Raw genomic sequence first — 20,973 nt, forward strand, 5'->3', positions numbered from 1 at the left:
GCTTTGTTCCATTGCATCAGTAGTGCATGGATGTATGGCAGGTGCACCACCCCTTAGGGTGATTAGGTGCCTGAGTTACCTTTCCTCCTAACATGTCGATTTCAGTGGGGGAAGGGACAAGGAGGTCTCACAGTCCTAGAGCACAGGAATTGGTGGGCATCCTGGCTGGGCCCTGAAGGGCATGCTGGGGAGCCTGCAGCCAAGAGGCCTTCAAGAAATAACTGGACATCCCTGGACAGAGAGGGAGATGTTGGCAAGGACAAACTTGGCCTGGGGCTGTGGCAGGTGAGGCTTTTGCCTGTCAGCAGCCTCTTCCAGCTGTGAGGCCTCCGTGGGGACTATGGAGTGGCACGGCAGACCCAGAGTACTGGCTTGGGCAAAGGAAGGAGAAACTGCCATTCCCCTGTAGAAGAGTCCTCAAGGTGATACGTGGCAGAGATACATGGCAGGGGCCTGCTAACTACAGCCTGTGGGCCTATTCTGGCCTCTTTTTTGCAAATAAAGTTTTATTGGAACACAGCCACACTCATTGTGCTTTCATGCTGCAATGGCAGGGTTGAGTAGTTGTAATGAAACCATACGGCCCACAAAACCTACAATATTTATTATCTGGCCTTTAATGGAAAAAGTTACCTGACCCCTGGTCTAGGGCATATTGGGTTCTATCTGTGCTTTCTAAAAAGATAAACTCCCTCTCAAAAAACTAAATTCTATTATGATGTTCCCCAAATCCTACCTCAACTGTTCTACCAAAAATTCCAGCGTCCAAGCCTCCACATCCCCCTCCAGCACCTAAGGAAGTCACAGCACTTCTGCAAGCACTGCTCCCTTCATCTATCATAGCAAGACCAGAAACAGCCACCTCTTAGGCCACTCTGGGGATGAGGCCCAAGAAATGAGTGAGTAGCCAGGAATAAAAGGAATGAGCTTGAATGGTGAGAATTCTGTGAAACCGCCAGTATGTGTATACATTTTAAATCATGAAATAGATGCGTTTTCTCTGCTAGATGACACACTTGGTTAACAACAACAACACATTGCAGACGGGTTTTCAGTGCAAGTTAAGCTGTTTATTTCTGGGGGTCCCCAGGGTCCCAGGCAGGAAGCAGAGGATTAACAAAAAAAGGTGTGAATTAGGGTGGAGGAGAGCAGACTCGTGAAGAGTTTCTGACAGCGCTGAGCTGTGTCCAAAATGAATTAGGCTTCCAGACATTGCACACTCGTTCTAAATTTAGACCTGGAGTCTGTGATTGACAAAGATGAATCCAACCTATGGCAGTCGCTGGGGATTTAGGATATAGACACGAAGTTTCTACAACTTTTACAAAGCCAACATGTAAGATACACTCACTAGATTTTGGTCCTAGACTATGCCATTGTGAAAACCAAGTATTACAAAGCCAGATATTAAGCAGATACCAAAAAGTTCTAAGACACCACTTTCTCCCTCAAGGGCCATATAATCCAGCTAAGAAAACAGATATATGCACGTAAAAAGATAGCACTGCTCTGTGTATATAATTGGGATTAAGTTCAGTTGTGACTAAAACCCTCAAGACAAGCCAAAAAGTCCAGGGCTGATGGGGCCTCTCTCTCCCACGGAGCCCTCTGGGACTTGGGCTCCTTCCTCTAAGCCCTCCACCATCTCTAGGGAGTGTCCCCATCCTCTTGGTTAATGGCACAGCTGCATTCCAGGCAGCAGGGAGAGGCAGGAACTAAGAAGGGACCAAATAAAGTCGTTCAATTCAAAGTTTATTTGGGAGTCAAGTAAAGTTTACAGTGGGAGTACAAAACTAGAGATTTGTTTCAGGTCACACACTTTGCTTGTACAACCTCTAGATTGCGTAAGTTATGCCTTCATTTATATCTTTAACACCCTAAGCATATTGATCGAAGTCTTTGTCAGACGGTTCTATAAAATTAATTTCATCTGGAGTAAATTAGTATTTTGAATATTAAATCTGTGAACTGTCTTTGTAAGCACTGGGCTTCTCCATGTGTTTTGGAATTCTGATGTACAGGCTTATTTTGAGGCTTGGAGTACTTGCTTTTTCATTTATTCTGTCTTTTTTCTCTGTACACATTCTCCCTTAACAAGCAGTTTTGTAACGGTCACCACTCAACCGTCTGGGTCCCCAGTACAGAACTGGATCCTTGAATGGCAGTTGAGAGTGTCCTGCCCTGTGGGGATTTGAGGGTTCTGTGGATCTGGATGCAGAGGCAAAGGGTAGCTGGTCTCAGCTTCTGGTCGCAAAGCAATGTCTTGTTCTCCAGTCTCTTACATCTACAGCTTTTAGAAATTCCTGGCTCTTGGCAGAGGTTGGTCAGCCTAATTTCATGGGTAAGAAGGGAGCCCTACTCCGCTGCCTGCCTTCAGGTACTGAGGGTGTCTCTGGTCCCTTCTACTATCTTGAATAGAGCTCCTTTTGTCCTCCTTTCCCCAGCTTCCACCGCCTGTCTCCAGACCTGAAGCCCAGCAGGCTGCAGCTTCAGCTCTGTTCACCCCTCTGTGCTCCTATTGCTTGTCCACAAAGATGTTAATCTCATTTATGAGTCTGGAGAAGTCTTTGGTTATCTTTTAAAAATATTGTGTCTGTCAACACTTAGTGATCAAAGAGTGAATGCATGGCACCCTTTTGTCAGGAAGTTCCCACAGTCCTTAAGATCCAAAGGAGTGGTCCTGCTCAAAGGGGAAAGAGGGGGAAGAGATTCCCAAGGCCAAACTATCAGGATTTATGGAGGGGAAATGACCTGACTTGGACAAATAGGATTAGGATGGGTGGAAAGAAGCAGAGAAGGCCATCCAGGCCAGAGACACATGGGACATGGTGGGGGATGTTTGTGTTAGATCATCCTGGCTAGAGCCAGTTCCCTGCTACATATTCTCATGCTGAGCTGGTCTTCTCCTTCACAGGACTTATCACCATAGTTATTGATTATGTGTTTGTGTGTTTGTGTGATTATTTGATTAATGTGCATCTCGTCCTGTACTGTCAGGTCCATGAGGGCAGAGATCATATGCGTGCCCAGTTGGATCCCAAGCACCAATTTTGGTAGTTAGTCCAGGCTTGGTGAAAAAGAAATGAATGAATAAAGCTGCAGAGATGGGTGTGGGGTGGCCCGCGATCTGGCTGTTAGGAGTTTGAAATCTTTTGGAAGATATTAATTTAAACAATTACTGTATGGATTCCAGTGGAGGGGCACATGCTTGCTTTGGGCTTCTCCTAGGCTGCCAGGTTACTGTAAGGACTGTCTGAGGAAAGTAAGCTCTGGGGAAGAAGGCATGGGACCCTGCCATGCCAGGCCAACCCATCAGCAGACCCCAAAGAAAAGTGGACAAAGAAACACAAGAGTTTTTAAGGAGATATTTGATATAGACAGCAGAAGTTGGCTTTTATTATTTAAAATTTCTGATTTAGTTTTAATGAGAATTTTTTTTAAGACAGGGTCTCACTCTGTCACCCAGGCTGGAGTGCAGTGGTCTGAAAGCAGCTCACTGCAGCCTTGACCTCTGGGACACAGCGATCCCTCTGTCTCAGTCTCCCAAGTAGCTGGGACCACAGGTGCGTGCCACTGTGCCCAGCTAACTTTTTTATTTTTGTAGAGATGGAGGTCTCACTTTGTTATCCAGGCTGGTCTTGAACTTCTGGACTCAAGCAACCTTCCAGCCTTGGCCTCCCAAAGTGCTGGGATTATAGGGGTGAGCAGAGTAAGCATTTTTAGAAAGAATTTTATTTTACCATTAATTATTTTGTTTCCATTACTTTGCTTTTTTCTTTCTTTCTTTCTTTTCTTTTCTTTTTGGAGACAGGGCCTTGCTCTGTTGTCCAGGTTGGAGTACAGTGGTGTAATCATGGCTCACTGCAGCCTCAAACTCCTGGCCTCAATTGATTCTCCTGCCTCAGCTTCCCAAACTCTTGGGATTACAGGCGTGAGCCACCACGCCTAACCTACATTTCTTTATGCAAATTCAAGTTTTATTTCCGTATCACGTTCCTGTACCTGAATAACTTCTTTTAAAATTTCTTGTGTTGTGAGGTCTGCTGACAATGAATTCTCTGTTTTTGTCTGAGAAAGTCTTTATCTTTCCTTTATTTTGGAAGTGATTTTCACTGGGTATAGATTACTGGGTTGACAGTTTGTTTCTTTTTTCTTTCAGTGTTTTAAAGCTGTCACTCTATCATCTTCTGACTTGCATGGCTCCTGACAAGAGATCTGCTATAATTCTTTGTTCCTCTGTATATAATGTGTTTTTTCATTCTACATTTTTTTTTATTTTCAAGATATTCTCTTTTTTATTTTCAGCAGTCATAATATGGTATGCCTAGATGTGTATATGTATGTGTATTTTCTGGTGTTATTTAACCTGGTATTCACTGAGCTTTACGGATCTGTGGCTTAGTGTCTGTCATGATTATTGGAAAATTCTCAGCCATCATTTCTTCAAATATTTCTCCTATCTTATTCTCTTTTTTCATGTATTTCTTGGACTGTAATTACATGTATATTAGGATCTTTAATATTGTCCTGAAGCTTTCGGATGTTCTGTTCTCTGTTTTTCCCTCAGTCTTTTCTTTGTGTTTCAGTTTGGGTAATTTCTATAGCACTATCTTTAACTGATTCTTTCCTCAGCTGTGTCAATTCTATTAATGAGCTCATTGCAGACATTATTTCTGTTACTGTGTTTTCATTTCCAGCATTTCCATAGATTCTTTCATATAGTTTCTATATTTTTGCTGAAAGGACCTTTCTAATCTTGCATATTGTCCTTCTTTTCCATCAGAGCCTTTAATATATTCATCATGATTGTTTTAAGTTCCCTGTCAGGTAGTTTCAGTGTCTGTGTTGTATCTGGTTCTGTAGAAGCTCTTCTGTTCTGTTGATGGCTGTGGTGTGGAGCTAGTGTGTAGTTCTGGGCCTGGAACATATTCCTGCTCCTCCCCCAGGGTACAGGTTCTTTCTCATCCCTTACTCCAGGTCTAAAGGGTTTCCACTGGTGCCTTCATGGCAATGGTGTTGCCCTTTCCTCTAGAGATCAAAGCTTTTATCCATAGGGGAGTTGGGAGAGAGACATCTGGGTGGGGTTTTGTGTCCCTCCTGCTGTGGCTGCTGTCCCAGTCCCTCAGGCCTGTATCATGAGGGATGCATTCTCGTACCCTCCCCCACCCGCCTGGGGTCATGGGGGAAAGCCTGGAAAAGGGTGCAAACTCTTGCTTCAGACTTCCCACTTTCTTGCCCACCCACACTCCATCCCTACCAGTTCATTAAGTATTCCAGCTGAATCCCACACTCCATCCCTACCAGTTCATTAAGTATTCCAGCTGAATCCCACACTCTATCCCTACCAGTTCATTAAGTATTCCAGTTGAATCCTTACTGCTGTGCATCTGCGGGGCCCCAGGTGCACCAGTGTTCACGTCCCATCTCTTCTTGTGGGCACCTGTCTCTTCTTAGATTTCAGGATAGTTGATTGAACCTGAGCTCTCTGATGGCTTCAATGAGAGCTCTAAACTTGCAGGTTTTCCAGCTTTTTTGTTGTTGTAAAGGTGTGGGCAATGTTCTTTCCAGATTGCTGCATCTAGAGCAGAAACTGGGAGTCAGAATTGAGTTAACTTAAAGGAAAAGATAGGGAAAAATCAGTGTTTGTGGACTAAATTGGTAACCACTTCTCTTGTAGGATATTGCCATTAGGTCCTTCTAATCCTGTGAGGTAAGTAATCACCATTCCCATTTACAGATGAGGTTCTGAGAGGATGAGAAAGGATCTGGGGTTCCTCTCTGGTCCTGCCTGATTGCATGGGAACAGCTGCCCTCTGCTGCCTTCTGAGGCTGTGAAGTGCGAGTGTGAGATTAGAAAGGAACCTGTGGAAGGGGGCGGCGTGGCCCTCTGTCCTCAGCCTGCAGTAAAGCCAGCTTGCATGGACTGGGCTTGGTGAGTTTAGGGAAATGAGGGAGGAACTGGCATGGCTTGGGTGGGCTGAGATTCTGGCTGGGACTCACACAGGGACTCAGCAGGAAGTAGATTGTAGGGAAAAATAGCACTAATGGCTGGAGAGACCTGGATGGCTTTCCAGCGAGTCCCTTGCTGCCCATGTGAGAGACATCAGAGTCCTCACAGCCTTGGAATGTGGCTCAGTCCCAGGGCCGGGATGGAGTGTTTGCCAGTGTCAGGGAATCCAGACTTGGCCTTGTGTGTGGAGATTGGCGGTGGGGAACTGTGTATGGGAAAAGCACAAATGGAGATGGAGCTGCTGGGGAATGACCCCGAAGCTTCTGCTCAGTCAGAGCCTGCTCTCCCTCCCTCTGAAGCATTCCCAGGCCCACATGCCAAGACAAAGGATAGGACTGTACCTCCTTCCTTACTCACAGACACACACACACACACACACACACATAATCCTTTTGTGACTTCCCTTTGAGGTTTTCAATTATGTATTTATTCATTCATTTATATATTCCTTTATTCATTCAATAAATATTCATTACTGCCAAGTTCTGCACCCTGGGTAACCTGATCTTCCTGAGTGAAGGGGGTAGGGATGTGGAAAGCTTGCAGCTTAGTGGCCCTTGGTGCTCTGCTCCCCTCAGAGATGACCCGAGGAAGGGCCTGAGTGTGGGAAGGAGCAAGGATCAGTTTTCCCGAACCCCTTCAAGTAAGTAATGCACAGGTGTTACCTGGGTGGCTTGCCAGGTGCCAGAACCCTGCTGGGGGCATGCACAAGCTTCAGCTTCAAGCACACCTCTCCCTACACAAAAAACCACAGATCCTCAGCATGCTATTAGCACTGTGCAGTCCTGTCCTAACCTCCTCCTCCTCCTCCTCCTCTTCCTCCTCCTCCTCTCTCCCCACCCCCAGCAGACCAGTCTGCTGGACCGCTTGTTTGCAAGGCTGGTCTTCCACTTCAGGCCTCTAAGCTTGCCTTCTTCCCCTCTGTGCATCCAAACCGCCATGCCCTTCAAGGCTCAGCTTCAATGCCACCCTCTCCAGGAAGCCTTCTCTGAATCCTCCAATGAGAATTAATCAGGCTAACATTTTTTTCTTTTTCTTTTTTTTTTGAAATGGAGTCTGGCTCTGTCACCTAGGATGGAGTGCAGTGGCGTGATCTCAGCTCACTGCAACCTCCACATCCTGGGTTCAAATGATTCTCCTGCCTCAGCCTCCCAAATAGCTGGGATTACAGGCATGCGCCAGCATGCCCAGCTAATTTTTGTATTTTTAGTAGAGACAGGGTTTTGCCATGTTGTCCAGGCTGGTCTCGAACTCCTGACCTCAGGTGATCCACCCACCTCAGCCTCCCAAAGTGCTGGGATTATGGGTGTGAGCCACTGCACCCGGCCCAGGCTAACATCTTGACTGTCACATCAGATGGCTTGTACCTCTCTCACACATGTGCCTCATTTGGTCCTGTCTTGCTAGAGCCTGACTCCCGGGTTGTACTCAGCAACAGAACTGTGGCCAGGCCATCTCCGGTATAAGCCTTTCCGGGTCTTCCTATTGCTCTCAAGATCAAGTTCGAACCTGCATATCTCGTGTGACCTCACCTCTCTCTTCTGCCTCATCTGTAACCTCTTGAGAGCAGGGACTAGGGCATAACATGTTTTATTCCTGAGAGTTTCTAATACATTTCCTGGCACATAGTAAATATATGTACTCAATAAATATATGTCAAAATGAAATGAAATTCTAGTTGAATAATTGATTTCTACAAGCCAAGGATAAGCCTGCTTCCACATAGGGAAAAAACAGACTGGCCTGATGCTCCCCCTTCCTCACTCCATATTTCTTTAGTGTCATTCAGGAAATAAGTTTTGAGTTATAATTATTTGGCAAAATATTCAGATGAGCATCAGTCATGAGTTCTATAACCAGCAAATTCTCGACATCGGCAATGGAACCGCTGCTGGTTGTTTCCCGTCTTTTTTGGAATAACAACAAAATTTTCTGCCAGCCTTTGTCATGGACAGTCTGTTAAGAAAGCAAGTAAAAAGTCCCTTTGTTGTTTTTCAGGTGTCTTGGGAAGAAGGGTCCTTGGAGCCGAAGATGATTTTGGGGAGTGAAAGAGACCGCCTTTTCCTGGTAATAGCAGAGCCAAAACTCCAGCCTTCAACCCACAGACCGGGGCCTGTCCCCAGGCATCGCCACCCACCCCATGGCCTCATCGTCATCTGTGACTTTTGCCTCCCTGCATCTCAGTTTCCATGCCTGTCAAGTGGAGATATAATACCTCATTCTGGGGAGATACAATGAAGCACTGCTGGTAAAAAGTACACGTGCTATACAAAATTAGGAAATCCTTGTCACCAGACTTAGAGAAAAATACAAAGTGGAGTTGACTCCCAGGTTGGAGACACAGCTTCCCAGGTAAGGACATGGCTCAGTTTTCACCACGCTGAGCTGCTGCCTGAACCCAGGGTGTTGGAACCCGGGGCTGGCCTCTCAGCCCTGGCCACACGTGCTGGGTTTCAGGTCACGCATGCAGCCAGTTCACCACACCTCCGCTCACCCAGCGAGCTGACTGAAGCTCTGCCCTGACAGACTTCTGTCTGCTCGAGCCATTTTGTCTTTCTCGTTCTCTCATGAAAATGCCAATGCTGGCCAAAGACAGAAGCAACCAGGGTCCCCTAACTCTTAAAGGCATCAGGATCACCTGGGGATCTTATTAAAAAGGCAGGCTCTGGGGTCCCTAACTCAGAGGTTCATGGTGGGTCAGCTGTTGAGGTGGGACCAAGGGATGTGTGTAGTTAGCAGCTGCTCAATTTGCTAGGGAGCCAGAGAGCAGGCCGCTGTGGAGGAGCCTTATGTCTGGATCAAGAAAGGGGCCCTCGGAGGGGAAATGGAGCTCCAGCAAAGAGATGCGCAGCCAGGATTAGGGGTACGAAGCCGGGATGGATGGAGTGACTTCCGCAAAGACAAGTCAGGGCTTCCTCCTGGGCTTAGGCCGGAGGAGTTAGGGGAGTGACAGCGTGGACCCAGGAAAGGGGAGCTCAGAGGGGCCAAACCTGGAGGCCACCATGCTGCAACTCACCTCAAACAGCTGGGTAAACTGAGGCAAACTAGCTCATCCCCTGTCCTCAGGATGTAGTGCCTAGGAGCCTGCCAGGCTGGAGGGCCTGGAGGAAGAGCCTTTCATTTTCCTTGTAGGAGCAGTGAGATGAGGCTGGGCCCTGAGAATCCTTCACTCTCTCCCTCTCCTGGAGGGCAAAAGACAGGCCTGATTACCTGTCCCCTCCAGCACTGTTTGGCTCAGATGTATGCTAGCGGAGCGGGGAGTGGGTCCACTGGGACTCCTGGAAGACCACTTTGCAGCTCTGGAACGTCCCCTGGCAGTGCCTTCCTGACCCCTTGGCCTCAATTGTCTGCTCTGTCCGGCTTCATGGGCTTCTAAAGGAAATGTCTACATATTTGAGACATGATTCTATCTGATGCCAGCCTGATACTTCCAGCAGCTTCTTCACTCCCCAGAAGCTGAAAATGATGACTTGAAGAGGCCATGGTCACGGGCCTGAACCCAGGCCTGGGAAGTGCAGGCTTAGCATCTAGTCCACTAACCTTGGCCATGGGCTATGGCAACCTTGGTTTTCATCATCTATAAAATGATGGGGCTGGGGAGAGTAAGAAGGAGAATTCGACTTTCAAACTTTTCTTTTCTTGACTGTGGAAACCTTTCTTCAAGAAAAGCTGACAGAGGAAGCAAATATCTGAGGATCCTCTTGGAGCTGCTGCTGTGTTTGAAATGGGAACTGGAACATCAGGCTCCACGCTCCTTCCTCAGTCTAGGCAGAAAGCCCAGGGCTCTTTTGGGCCTGTTGTGTTTTGTATGAGACAGGGTCTTGCTGTTTCGCCCAGGCTAGAGGGGTGCAGGGGCACAATCATAGCTCACTGAAGCCTCAAACTCCTGGGCTCAAGGGATCCTTCTGCCTCAGCCTCTCAAATAGCTAGGACTACAGGTGCATACCACCACACCCTGTTTATTTTTATTTATTTTTATTTTTTGTAGAGACATATGTTGGCCAGGCTGGTCTTGAACTCCTGGCCTCAAGTGGTCCTCCTGTCTTGGCCTCCCAAAGTTTTGAGATTACAGGCATGAGCCACCATGCCTAGCCCAGGGCCTATTTAAAAACCCGTGAACGTGGCCCAGCCATCCTACTCCTACGTGTTTACCCAAGAGAAATTAAAACATATGTCCACACAAACACTTGTACACAAATGTTCGTTGCAGCCATTTTGGTAATAGCTCCAAACTGGAAGCAACCCGAATGTCCATCACAGATAAATGGATAGACAAATTGTGGTATGTTTGTACAATGGAATGAAAAAGAACCAATGAAATGAAAGGGGATGGATGAACTATGGATGTGTGCAGCAACATGGATGAACCTCAGAATCATGATGCTGAAGTGAAACAAGTCAGACCAGGCCAGGCGTGGTGGCTCACGCCTGTAATCCCAGCGCTTTGGGAGGCCAAGACAGGAGTTAAGACCAGGAGTTCAAGACCAGCCTGAGCAACATACATCTCTACAAAAAATAAGAAATAAAAATTAGCTGGGTGTGGTGGCTCATGCCTATAATCCCAGCACTTTGGGAGGCCAAGGTGGGCAGATTGCTTGAGGTCAGGAGTTCAAGATCAGCTTGGCCAACATGTTGAAACCTCATCTTTACTAAAAATACAAAAATTAGCTTGGCGTGGTGGCACACGCCTGTAATCCCAGCTACTCGGGAGGCTGAGGCAAGAAAATTGCTTAAACGTGGGAGGCAGAGGTTGCAGTGAGCTGAGATCACACCACTGCACTCTAGCCTGGGCGACAGAATAAGACTCTATCAAAAAAAAAGGCAAAACATTTTTTATTTTATTTATATAAAATTCTAGAAAATTCCAACTAACCTACAGCGACAAAAACCAGACCATTGATTGCCTAGGGATGGGGTGGGGAGGAAGGGAAAAATTACAAAGGGGTATTAAGAAATTTTAGGAGTGATGGAAACTGTTTTACACCTTGATTAAGATGTGGTTTCATGGGTGCATACAAATATCAAAACATATCAAATTGTATTTTTAAATATGTGCAGTTTATTGTAAGTTAATTATACCTCAGTAAAGTTGTAAAAGAAAGAAAATGCCAACAGATTTTTTCATCTTAGAGAACTAGCTTAAAAAGCACAAAAATTCTCACCAGGCTGGGCACAGTGGCTCACTCTTTCAGTCCCAGCACTTTTTTTTTTTTTTTTTGAGAGGGAGTCTCACTCTGTCGCCCAGGCTGGAGTGCAATGGCGCGATCTCTGCTCACTGCAACCTCCACCTCTAGCGTTCAAGCGATTCTCCTGCCTCAGCCTCCCGAGTGGCTGGGATTACAAGTGCCCACTACCGCTCCTGGCTAATTTTTGTATTTTTAGTAGAGACAGGGTTTCACCATATTGGTCAGGCTGGTCTTGAACTCCTGACCTCAAGTGATCTGCCCACCTTGGCCTACCAAAATGCTGGGATTACAGGCGTGAGCCACTGTGCCTGGCCCAGTCCCAGCAATTTGTGGGGCCGAGGAGGGTGGATCGCTTGAGCCCAGGAGTCTGAGACCAGCCTAGGTAACATGGTGAAACCCCGTCTCTACAAAAAATACAAAAATCAGTCAGGCATGGTGACACTTGTCTGTAGTCCCAGCTACTCTGGAAGCTGAGGTGGGAGGATTGCTTGAGCCCAGGAGGTCAAGTCTGCAGTGAACCATGATGGTGCCATTACACTCCAGCCTGGGTAACAGAGTGAGACCCTGTCTCAAAAAAAAAAAAAAAAAAAAATTCTCACCAAATCTAGTCCTGTGAGGGTCTCTCCAGAGACCTGTGACCAATATTGAGCCCAATTCCTGTCTTGCTAGTGTTCAGTCACCCAGCTGGGGAGAGGCACTGGAGGTTTCTGGAAAGGTACAGGTGAAAACCCCTTTACCCTTTTGCTGTCAAATAGCATGAGAACTCCGTCTTCTATTTTCCAGTGGCTGCAAAGCAAGAGTTCCTTAGTTTCACGTTTGCTATATCCTCACCCAGCAGGGCTGGTTGTGCTCCAATTAATGAGCCTTCACAAAGCCCAACACTCTCCTCTCCACTCCCAGTTTTGTTCTTTAATCTTCAGATTGTCTTTTTGCGGGGCTGGCTCCCACCTGGGGCTCGCTGAAGACAAGCACCCTGAGGACCTGTCCCCTGGGAGCTGCTTCTCCGGGAAAGGGGCCACAGTAGTATGGGCAGCAGACTGGGTAGGGGCGCTAGGTTGCAGATTTTCCAAACATTTGACTGAAATGAAAAAAAAAACAGACTTGTGCTGCCAGGTATAAAAGAGAGAAGCCAGGCAGGCATCCGTCTCTGCCAGGAGCCTTTAAGTGCTTGGCAGAGACTCAGAGATTTACCAGGAAAGCACTAATCAAGTGCTTTGGTTTGATTGCTTTGTTTTAAAAAGTCCTTTCCTAGTACCTGTATGTGCTGAGTGCTGTGCTGGGTGCTGGGAACTGTGCAGTAAGCTCATGATTGAGTGGGCATGGTCCAATGAGAGATAAGCCCGGGGGCTGTGGGGCATCATGTGGGTGAAGGCGGTCATGTGCTACTTTGAGGCCACGCCAGACACTTTCTAAATTCCTGCATTCTTCCAAAATGTTAGGAATTAAAGCAAGGGGAGGTTCTCTTGGCCCAGAATCATCAGGCAGGGAGGACGTGGGAAACCACGAAGGAGAGGAAGAAATGGTCAGCCCAGAGGGAAAGCCAGAAATCAATCTAGTATGAGAAATAGAGTTTAATCTGATTGGCCACAGTGCTCAATATGACAACAATTATGTAAAAGTTGAATACAAAACAGAAATATGTGAATTCCGCACAGATATATCCACTATTGGAAATGCATATGAGCTATCTATGGGGTATGCCTCAAACTGAAGATAATGGTTACGTTGAGGGCATGGCGTAATCAAGAAGGACTTTTGCTTTATCTATATTGTTTGAATATTTTATAATTAACTTTCCAAGATATCTGTGAATTTTTCTTTTATGTACTTTTTCAATTTTTTTTTTGCTTCTGAATGACAAATACGCCATATTTTTCAGTTTTCTTGTATTTTTTTAAAAAATCTTTGTAATTTTTTATTTTTGGTGGAGATGGAGTTTCACCATGTTGGCCAGGCTGGTCTCAAACTCCTGGCCTTAAGTGATCCACCTGCCTCAGCCCTGCAAAGTGCTGGGATTACAGGCATGAGCCACCACATCTGGCCAATTATAGTAAAACATATATAACATAAAAATTTACCATCTGAACCATTTCTTTTCTTTTTTTTTTTTTTTTCTGAAACGGAGTCTGACTCTGCCACCCAGGCTGGAGTGCAGTGGCACGATATTGGCTCGCTGCAACCTCCATCTCCCAGGTTCAAGTGATTCTCCTGCCTCAGCCTCCCAAGTAGCTGGGATTATAGGTGCCCGCCACCACGCCTGGCTAATTTTTGTATTTTTAGTAGAGAGGGGGTTTCACCATGTTGGCTAGGCTGGTCTCGAACTCCTGACCTCAGATGATCTGCCCACCTCAGCCTCCCAAAGTGGGATCACAGGCATGAACCACCGCGCCCAGCCCATCTGAACCATTTCTAAGTGAACAGTTCAGTGGCATTAAGTACATTCACAATGTTGTGCTATTATCACCACTACCCATCTCTAGAGCATTTTCATCTTCCCAAACTGAAGTTCTGTATCCATTAAACACTAACTCCTCATTCCCCTTTCTCCCACCAGCCCCCTGGCAACCACCGTTCTGTTTTCTGCCTCTAGGAATGTGACTGCTCTAGGTATCTCATGTAAGTGGAATCATAGTATTTGTCCTTTTGTGTCTCGCTTACTTCACTTAATAAAGTGTTTTCAAGGTTCATCCATGTCGTAGCATGTGCCAGAATTTCCTTCTTTTTGAAGGCTGAATAATATTCCACTGTGTGGATATTCCACACTTTGTTTATACCCACCTCTATTGATGGGCATTTGGGTTGTTTCCACCTTTGGCTATTGTGAATAATGCTGCTATGAACCACGGTGTGCAAATAGCTGTTTGAGTCCCGTTTCCGATTTTTTGGAGGAACATACCCAGAAGTGGGATTGCTGATCATATGGTAATCTATGTTAAATTTTTTTGAGGAGCCAGAATACTAGCTCCCACAGTAGCTGCTCCATTTTGCATACCCACCAGCAATACACTAGGGCCCCAATTTTCCCACATCTTCGTCAACACTTGTTATTTTCTGTTTCTTTGGTTACAGCCATCCTAATGGATGTGAGGTGGTACCTTATTGTGGCTTCGATTTGCATTTCCCTAGCAATTAATGATGGTGAGCATATTTCATGTGGATCCGTAAATTTTTAGTAATATTTAAAAGATTTCAGCAGGCCAGGCACGGTGGCTCACGCCTGTAATTCCAGCACTTTGGGAGGCCGAGGCAGGTGGATCACGAGGTCAGGAGATCGATACCATCCTGGCTAACACGATGAAACCCCATCTCTACTAAAAATACAAAAAATAATTTAGCCAGGTGTGGTGGTGTGCACTTGTAGTCCCAGCTACTTGGGAGGCTGAGGCAGGAGAATTGCTTGAACCCGGGAGGTAAAGGTTGCAGTGAGCCGAGATCGTGCCGCTGCACTCCAGTCTGGGTGACAGAGCGAGGCTTCATTTCAAAAAAAAAAAAAAAAAAGATTTCAGCAATAGAGAAAAATGTAATGGAATATCTGGAAAACCTTTATACATCCATCTTACCTCTTGAAATGTTTCTGGTTTTCAACAAACATGATGTTTTGTGCCTTCCACTGTGTGGAGTGGCTCTAGATGGTGGTGTCATCAATAGCCACCCGCTCATCTCAGACTGCTTGACCTTGAAGCAGTTTCTGGAAATGCCCCTGAACAGCTGTTGATGAATCCACATGGTTTAAAGAGACTTGCTAAAGGTGGGTGGGTGGTCTGGCTGTCTTTACTTTATTGGGTTCCTTGTTTACAGAGTGAGCCCATAGTTTTTTCTCAATGCCCACTCGTCCCCATCTCTAGTCAGCTCTAGTAGCTGCTTTCTGATCCAGAGAGGAGACATTTGTAAGATGCAGCCCAATTCAGAGTGAACATTGAGACTTCTCAGCTAAAATTTGCAATCTCTCAGACTAAAAAGCTCAAGCCATTTTGGTGCTATGACTCATTCTTGAAATAACACATTTTTACATATTTTGATCAAACTGGAATTCAAGCTGAATATTGCTCACCTGTAACACCCTTTCCTATTTTACTGTTTTCAAAGCCTAGCTCAGCCTCCTGGGGTAAAGTGGTGTTTATTAAAGATAAACATTTAAGTTCCCCTTTGGGTTCCCAGAAGGCACAGATCATTATGGTGGGGGGTTCCTGGCTGGGGAAAGTGCCCTCAGAGAGCAACTTACTCACAATCTTACTATGGTTGTAATTCAATTAAAGAAGCTTCCAGGGCCCACCTTTGTGGGCTTTTACCCTGCTATTTCTTCTGTCATCTTTTTTTTTTCTGGCAACTCCCAACATTTATTTGGTGTAATAATGAAAATGATACAAAAAAAAAATCAGGGATTGTTTGACACTTTTTTCCTAAATGGAAACCTTCACCGAAAGAGGATAAAAGATTTACAGGTAAGTTCTTTCTCCAAAATTAGTAAATGACCTCAGTTTTAATTCTTACTGAGGTTACTAAGTAGCTATCAGTATATTATTTTCAACTTGTGTCTAGGAGGGAAATTTTTATGTAGCGGGAGGTAAGGCATTAGCAGAGAAATCAAGTTGTCAGTTGGGAGCCAGCCAGCTTCTGCCCTGCAGTTACTGCTAGAGCTTCACTGAGCTGCATATACACAGGCCTGTTTCACAGTGGGATTGAGGAGAGGCTGAATGAATGGCCCTTTGCTAAGCTGGTGGGCACTGCAAGCTCTAGCGTTTACTACCCACCAGAAAGGCAAAAGGTGAGGTCTTTATGGGAAAATCTGATGCCCCCAGCTCCTATGATGTCTGTAGCCCAGAATCAAGTCACCCAGCACTTGGTATAATGTTGAGGTAAGTGGCCTAGTGAACTGCCATCTTTTCTGTCTGGCAAGTGGTCACCCAGGCTGGAGTGCAGTGGCGCGAGCTCGGCTCACCACAGCCTCCGCCTCCCCGGTTCAAGCGATTCTCCTCCTTCAGCCTCCCCAGTAGCTGGGATTACAGGTGTGCACCACCACACCTGGCTAATTATTGTATTTTTAGTAGAGATAGGGTTCTACCATAGGTCAGGAGAGTCTCGAACTCCTAACCTCAAGTGATCTGCCTGCCTTGGGCTCCCAAAGTGCTGGGATTAAAGACATGAGCCATTGCACGTGGCCCCTGGCTAATGTTTTATCTGCTCTTCAAGACCCTGCTGAGGCCCTGTCTCCTTGTACAGTCTTTCTTGGCTCCCCTGGGCAGCTAGAAACTCCCTCCTCTGGGCCTCTTCAGCACCTCGAGAGCACTTAGTCCATCCAAGTGGGGTCCAGTGTTGATATTTTCTCTCTCCCATTAACCTAGAACCCTGCAAAGTGTCTGGCACATCACAGGCCTTCATCAGTCTGTGAATGCTTCTCACTTCTTGCTGTGGTTTCTGACGAGGGGGAACCAGGCTCCCCTAGTTTGCACCCTGGTTTTCTTTGGAGGATATGAGGCTGGAGAGAGGATACCATTAGTGCCACTGAGGGGGATGCATGCTATTCCTGTTCCCGTCTTCATAGGAAGATGCTCCCAAGGACAGCTCCTTTTGCTGGAGTTTGGAGTTGAAGGGGGAAGTATGGGTTTCATACCGAGAAAAGCCACACACCTATAATTGCAGGCACTTTCCCAGAAACTTGAGCCTGACCCCAGGACTGCACCCTGCCGAGCTCTGCTGGGTCACAGCCAGCCTCTGCATTTCCAGGAGGGCTTCCTGACTCTGGGGAAACATGGGCTTCCTGATGCGAGGGCAAAAAATGGGTTAGGGACTGCCAAGGGGACAGCTAAGGAGCTGAGGAGCCACTGATGTGCCAATTCCTTCTCTGTGCAGGTTTTATAGGGGAATGAAAGTCAAGAAAACAGCCATTTACAAATGCATGTGTATGTTCACTGGAGCACTATTCACAATAGCAAAGACATGGAATCAAACCAGGTGCCCATCAGTGGTGGACTGGATAAAAGAAAATGTGGTACATGCACCGTGGAATACTATGCAGCCACGAAAAGGATGAAATCATGTCCTTTGCAGCAACATGGGTGCAGCTGGAGGCCATTATCCTAAGCAAATTAATGCAGGAATAGAAAACCTAATGTGGCAGGCCAGGTCTCACTAACACAGTCCTCCATAACAACTGTTTCAGCACTGACTGAGTGGTTAAGTTAAATATTAAAAGCTGAAAGAGCCAGTGTCTTTCTACAAAGGCTGGAATGTAACAAAAGCTCACCAAGAGTTTTGCCTAGGCCTTTCCTGGACCTTGAAGCATAACAAGATAAAGAAGGAATCTTTAACAGGACCCATTTAGGATTAAACACGTTTTTATTGAGGGTCTGAAGAAACTCCCCAGACCTCCACAAACAAGTTTATTAGGGGTCTGAAGGAACTCCCCAAACCTCCACGGTTTAGCAGGAGACAAGATAAGGGTAATTACCCCTGGCACCTGCACCCATCTAGATTAAGTAAATTTACTGAGGCTCCAGAGGAAGGTCTTCAAGACTCAGACCTTAGTTATAGATTAAAAGAAGTTAATCACTTAGGTCTTTAGATGAATGCACACTTACACATGGACATGTAACTTAGAAGATATATAAACTTTGTAACTTTGAGTTGGTCTGGCGATAATTTCCAGGCCTTCTCCCTGTAATTGGTTACAGAAATAAAAACCTCTCTTCTTTCCCAGTTCATCTACATCTCATTATTGGCACACGAGAATAAGCAGCCCAACCCTTGGTTTGGTCAAGGAACAATAATGCTACATGTTCTCACGTATAAGTAGGAGCTAAACATTGAGTACACAAAAACATAAAGATGGGAATAACAGATACTGGGGACTGCTAGAGCAGGGTTGGGGGAAAGGGGCATGGGCTGAAAAACTCCCCACTGGGTACTTTGCTCACTTACCTTGGGACAGGATCATTCATGCTCCAAACCTGAACACCATCCAATATACCCATGTAACAAACCTGTACATGTACCCCTAGAATCCAAAAGAAAAGTCAAGAGTTAAGAAAGCCACCATTTGTGGAATGTCTGCTGGGCACCTGCCCAGAGCTCTAGCCCAGTTTTCTGTGCCTTTGCCTACCAAGAGCCACTGGCAAGGCTGAGCCATGAAGATGTGGCAGCCTTGAGCCTTTTTCAGGTTTCTTCTAATAGATGTGCTTTAATTTAAAGAACAAAATCTCTCTCACTCCCTCCTCTCTCTGCATTTGGAACACAGATTCATCAAAAACCTTTTAACATAATCCAGTGGTGGCTTTAAGTTATTGGTGTTAATGATTATTCTTTTTAAATTTTTTTAAATTATACTTTAAGTTCAGGGGTACATGAGCAGAACGTGTAGGTTTGTTACATAGGTGTGCACATGCCATGGTGGTTTGCTACACCCATCAACCTGTAACCTACATTAGGTATTTCTCTTAATGCTATCCCTCCCCTAGCCTCCAACCCCCTACAGGCACCGGTATGTGATGTTCCCTTCCCTGTGTCCATGTGTTCTCATTGTTCAACTCCCACTTATGAGTGAGAACATGTGGTGTTTGGTTTTCCATTCTTGTGTCAGTTTGCTGAGAATGATGCTTCATCCATGTCCCTGCAAAGGACATAAACTCATTCTTTTTTATGGCTGCATATTGTTCCATGGTATATATGTGCCATGTTTTCTTTATCCAATCTATCATTGATGGACATTTGGGTTGGTTCCAAGTCTTTCCTATTGTGAATAGGGCCGCCATAAACATGCGTGTGCATGTGTCTTTATAGCAGAATGACTTATAATCCTTTGGGTATATACCCAGTAATGGGATTGCTGGGTCAAATGGTATTTCTAGTTCTAGATCTAGATCCTGCCACACTGTCTTCAACAATAGTTGAACTAATTTATACTCCTAGCAACAGTGTAAAAGCATTCTTATTTCTCCACATCCTCTCCAGCATCTGTTGTTTCCTGACTTTTTAAATGATTGCCATTCTAACTGGCATGAGATGGTATCTCATTGTGGTTTTGATTTGCATTTCTCTAATGACCAGTGATGATGAGCATTTTTTCATATGTTTGTTGGCTGCATAAATGTCTTCTTTTGAGAAGTGTCTGTTCATATACTTCGCCCACTTTTTGATGGGGTTGTTTTTTCTTGTAAATTTGTTTAAGTTCTTTGTAGATCTGGATATTAGCCCTTTGTCAGATGGATAGATTGCAAAAAATTTCTCCCATTCTGCAGGTTGCCCGTTTACTCTGATGAGAGTTTCTTTTGCTGTGCAGAAGCTTCTTTAGTTTAATTAGATCCCATTTGTCAATTTTGGCTTTTGTTGCCATTGCTTTTGGTGTTTTAGTCACGAAGTCTTTGCCCATGCATATGTCCTGAATGGTATTGTCTAGGTTTTCTTCTAGGATTTTTATGGTGTTAGGTCTTAACATTTAAGGCTTTAATCCATCTTGAGTTAATTTTTGTATAACGCAAAAGGAAGGGGTCCAGTTTCAGTTTTCTGCATATGGCTAGCCAGTTTTCCCAACACCATTTATTAAATAGGGAATCCTTTCCCCATTGCTCGTTTTTGTCAGGTTTGTCAAAGATCAGATGGTTGTAGATGTGTGGTGTTATTTCTGAGGCCTCTATTCTGTTCCATTGGTCTATATATCTGTTTTGGTACCAATACCATGCTGTTTTGGTTACTGTACCTTGTAGTACGTTGAAGTCAGGTAGTGTGTTGCCTCCAGCTTTGTTCTTTTTGCTTAGGATTGTCTTGGCTATGCGGTGGTCTCTTTTTTGGTTCCATATGAAGTTTAATGTAGTTTTTTCCAATTCTGTGAAGAAAGTCAGTGGTAGCTTGATGGGGATAGCATTGAATGTATAAATTACTTTGGGCAGGATAGCCATTTTCCAATATTGATTCTTCCTATCCATGAGCATGGAATGTTTTTCCATTTGTTTGTGTCCTCTCTTATTTCCTTGAGCAGTGGTTTGTAGTTCTCCTTGAAGAGGTCCTTCACATCCCTTGTAAATTATATTCCTAGGTATTTTATTCTCTTAGTAGCAATTGTGAATGAGAGTTCACTCATGATTTGGCTCTCTGTTTGTCTGTTATTTGTGTATAGGAATGCTTGTGATTTTTGCAGATTGATTTTGTATCCTGAGACTTTGCTGAAGTTGCTTCTCAGCTTAAGGAGATTTAGGGCTGAGATGATGGGGTTTTCTAAATATACGATCATGTCATCTGCAAACAGAGACAATTTGACTTCCTCTTTTCCTATTTGAACACCTTTTATTTCTTTCTCTTTCCTGATTGCCCTGGCCAGAACTTCCAATACTATGTTGAATAGGAGTGATGAGAGAGGGCATCCTTGTCTTGTGCCGGTTTTCAGAGGGATTGCTTCCAGTTTTTGCCCATTCAGTATGATATTGGCTGTGGGTTTGTCATAAATAGCTGTTATTATTTTGAGATATATTCCATTGATATCCAGTTTATTTAGAGTTTTTAGCATGATGGGATGTTGAATTTTGTTGAAGGCCTTTTCTGCATCTATTGAGATAATCATGTGGTTTTTGTCATTGGTTCTGTTTATATGATGGATTACATTTATTGATTTGCATATGTTGAACCAGCCTTGCATCTCAGGGATGAAGCTGACTTGATCATGGTGGATAAGCTTTTTGATGTGCTGGTGGATTCGGTTTGCCAGTATTTTATTGAGGATTTTCGCATCGATGTTCATCAGGGATATTGGCCTGAAATTTTCTTTTTTTGTTGTGTCTCTGCCAGGTT

The 20,973-nt window shown here is 45.1% G+C and overlaps 1 long non-coding RNA gene across 2 annotated transcripts in view; it reads left to right on the forward strand.

The window, feature by feature from the left end:
• LOC105372112 (uncharacterized) overlaps positions 1-20,973 on the forward strand; it is a 127,792-nt gene that overhangs the window by 79,304 nt on the left and 27,515 nt on the right. For both annotated transcript variants that reach the window (XR_007066363.1, XR_007066364.1), the window contains exon 3: positions 8,009-8,362. This is a non-coding gene — a long non-coding RNA (uncharacterized LOC105372112). The remainder of the gene's footprint in view (positions 1-8,008; positions 8,363-20,973) is intronic.

Source organism: Homo sapiens, chromosome 18 (assembly GCF_000001405.40).
Source record: "Homo sapiens chromosome 18, GRCh38.p14 Primary Assembly".
Lineage (NCBI taxonomy): Eukaryota > Metazoa > Chordata > Mammalia > Primates > Hominidae > Homo > Homo sapiens.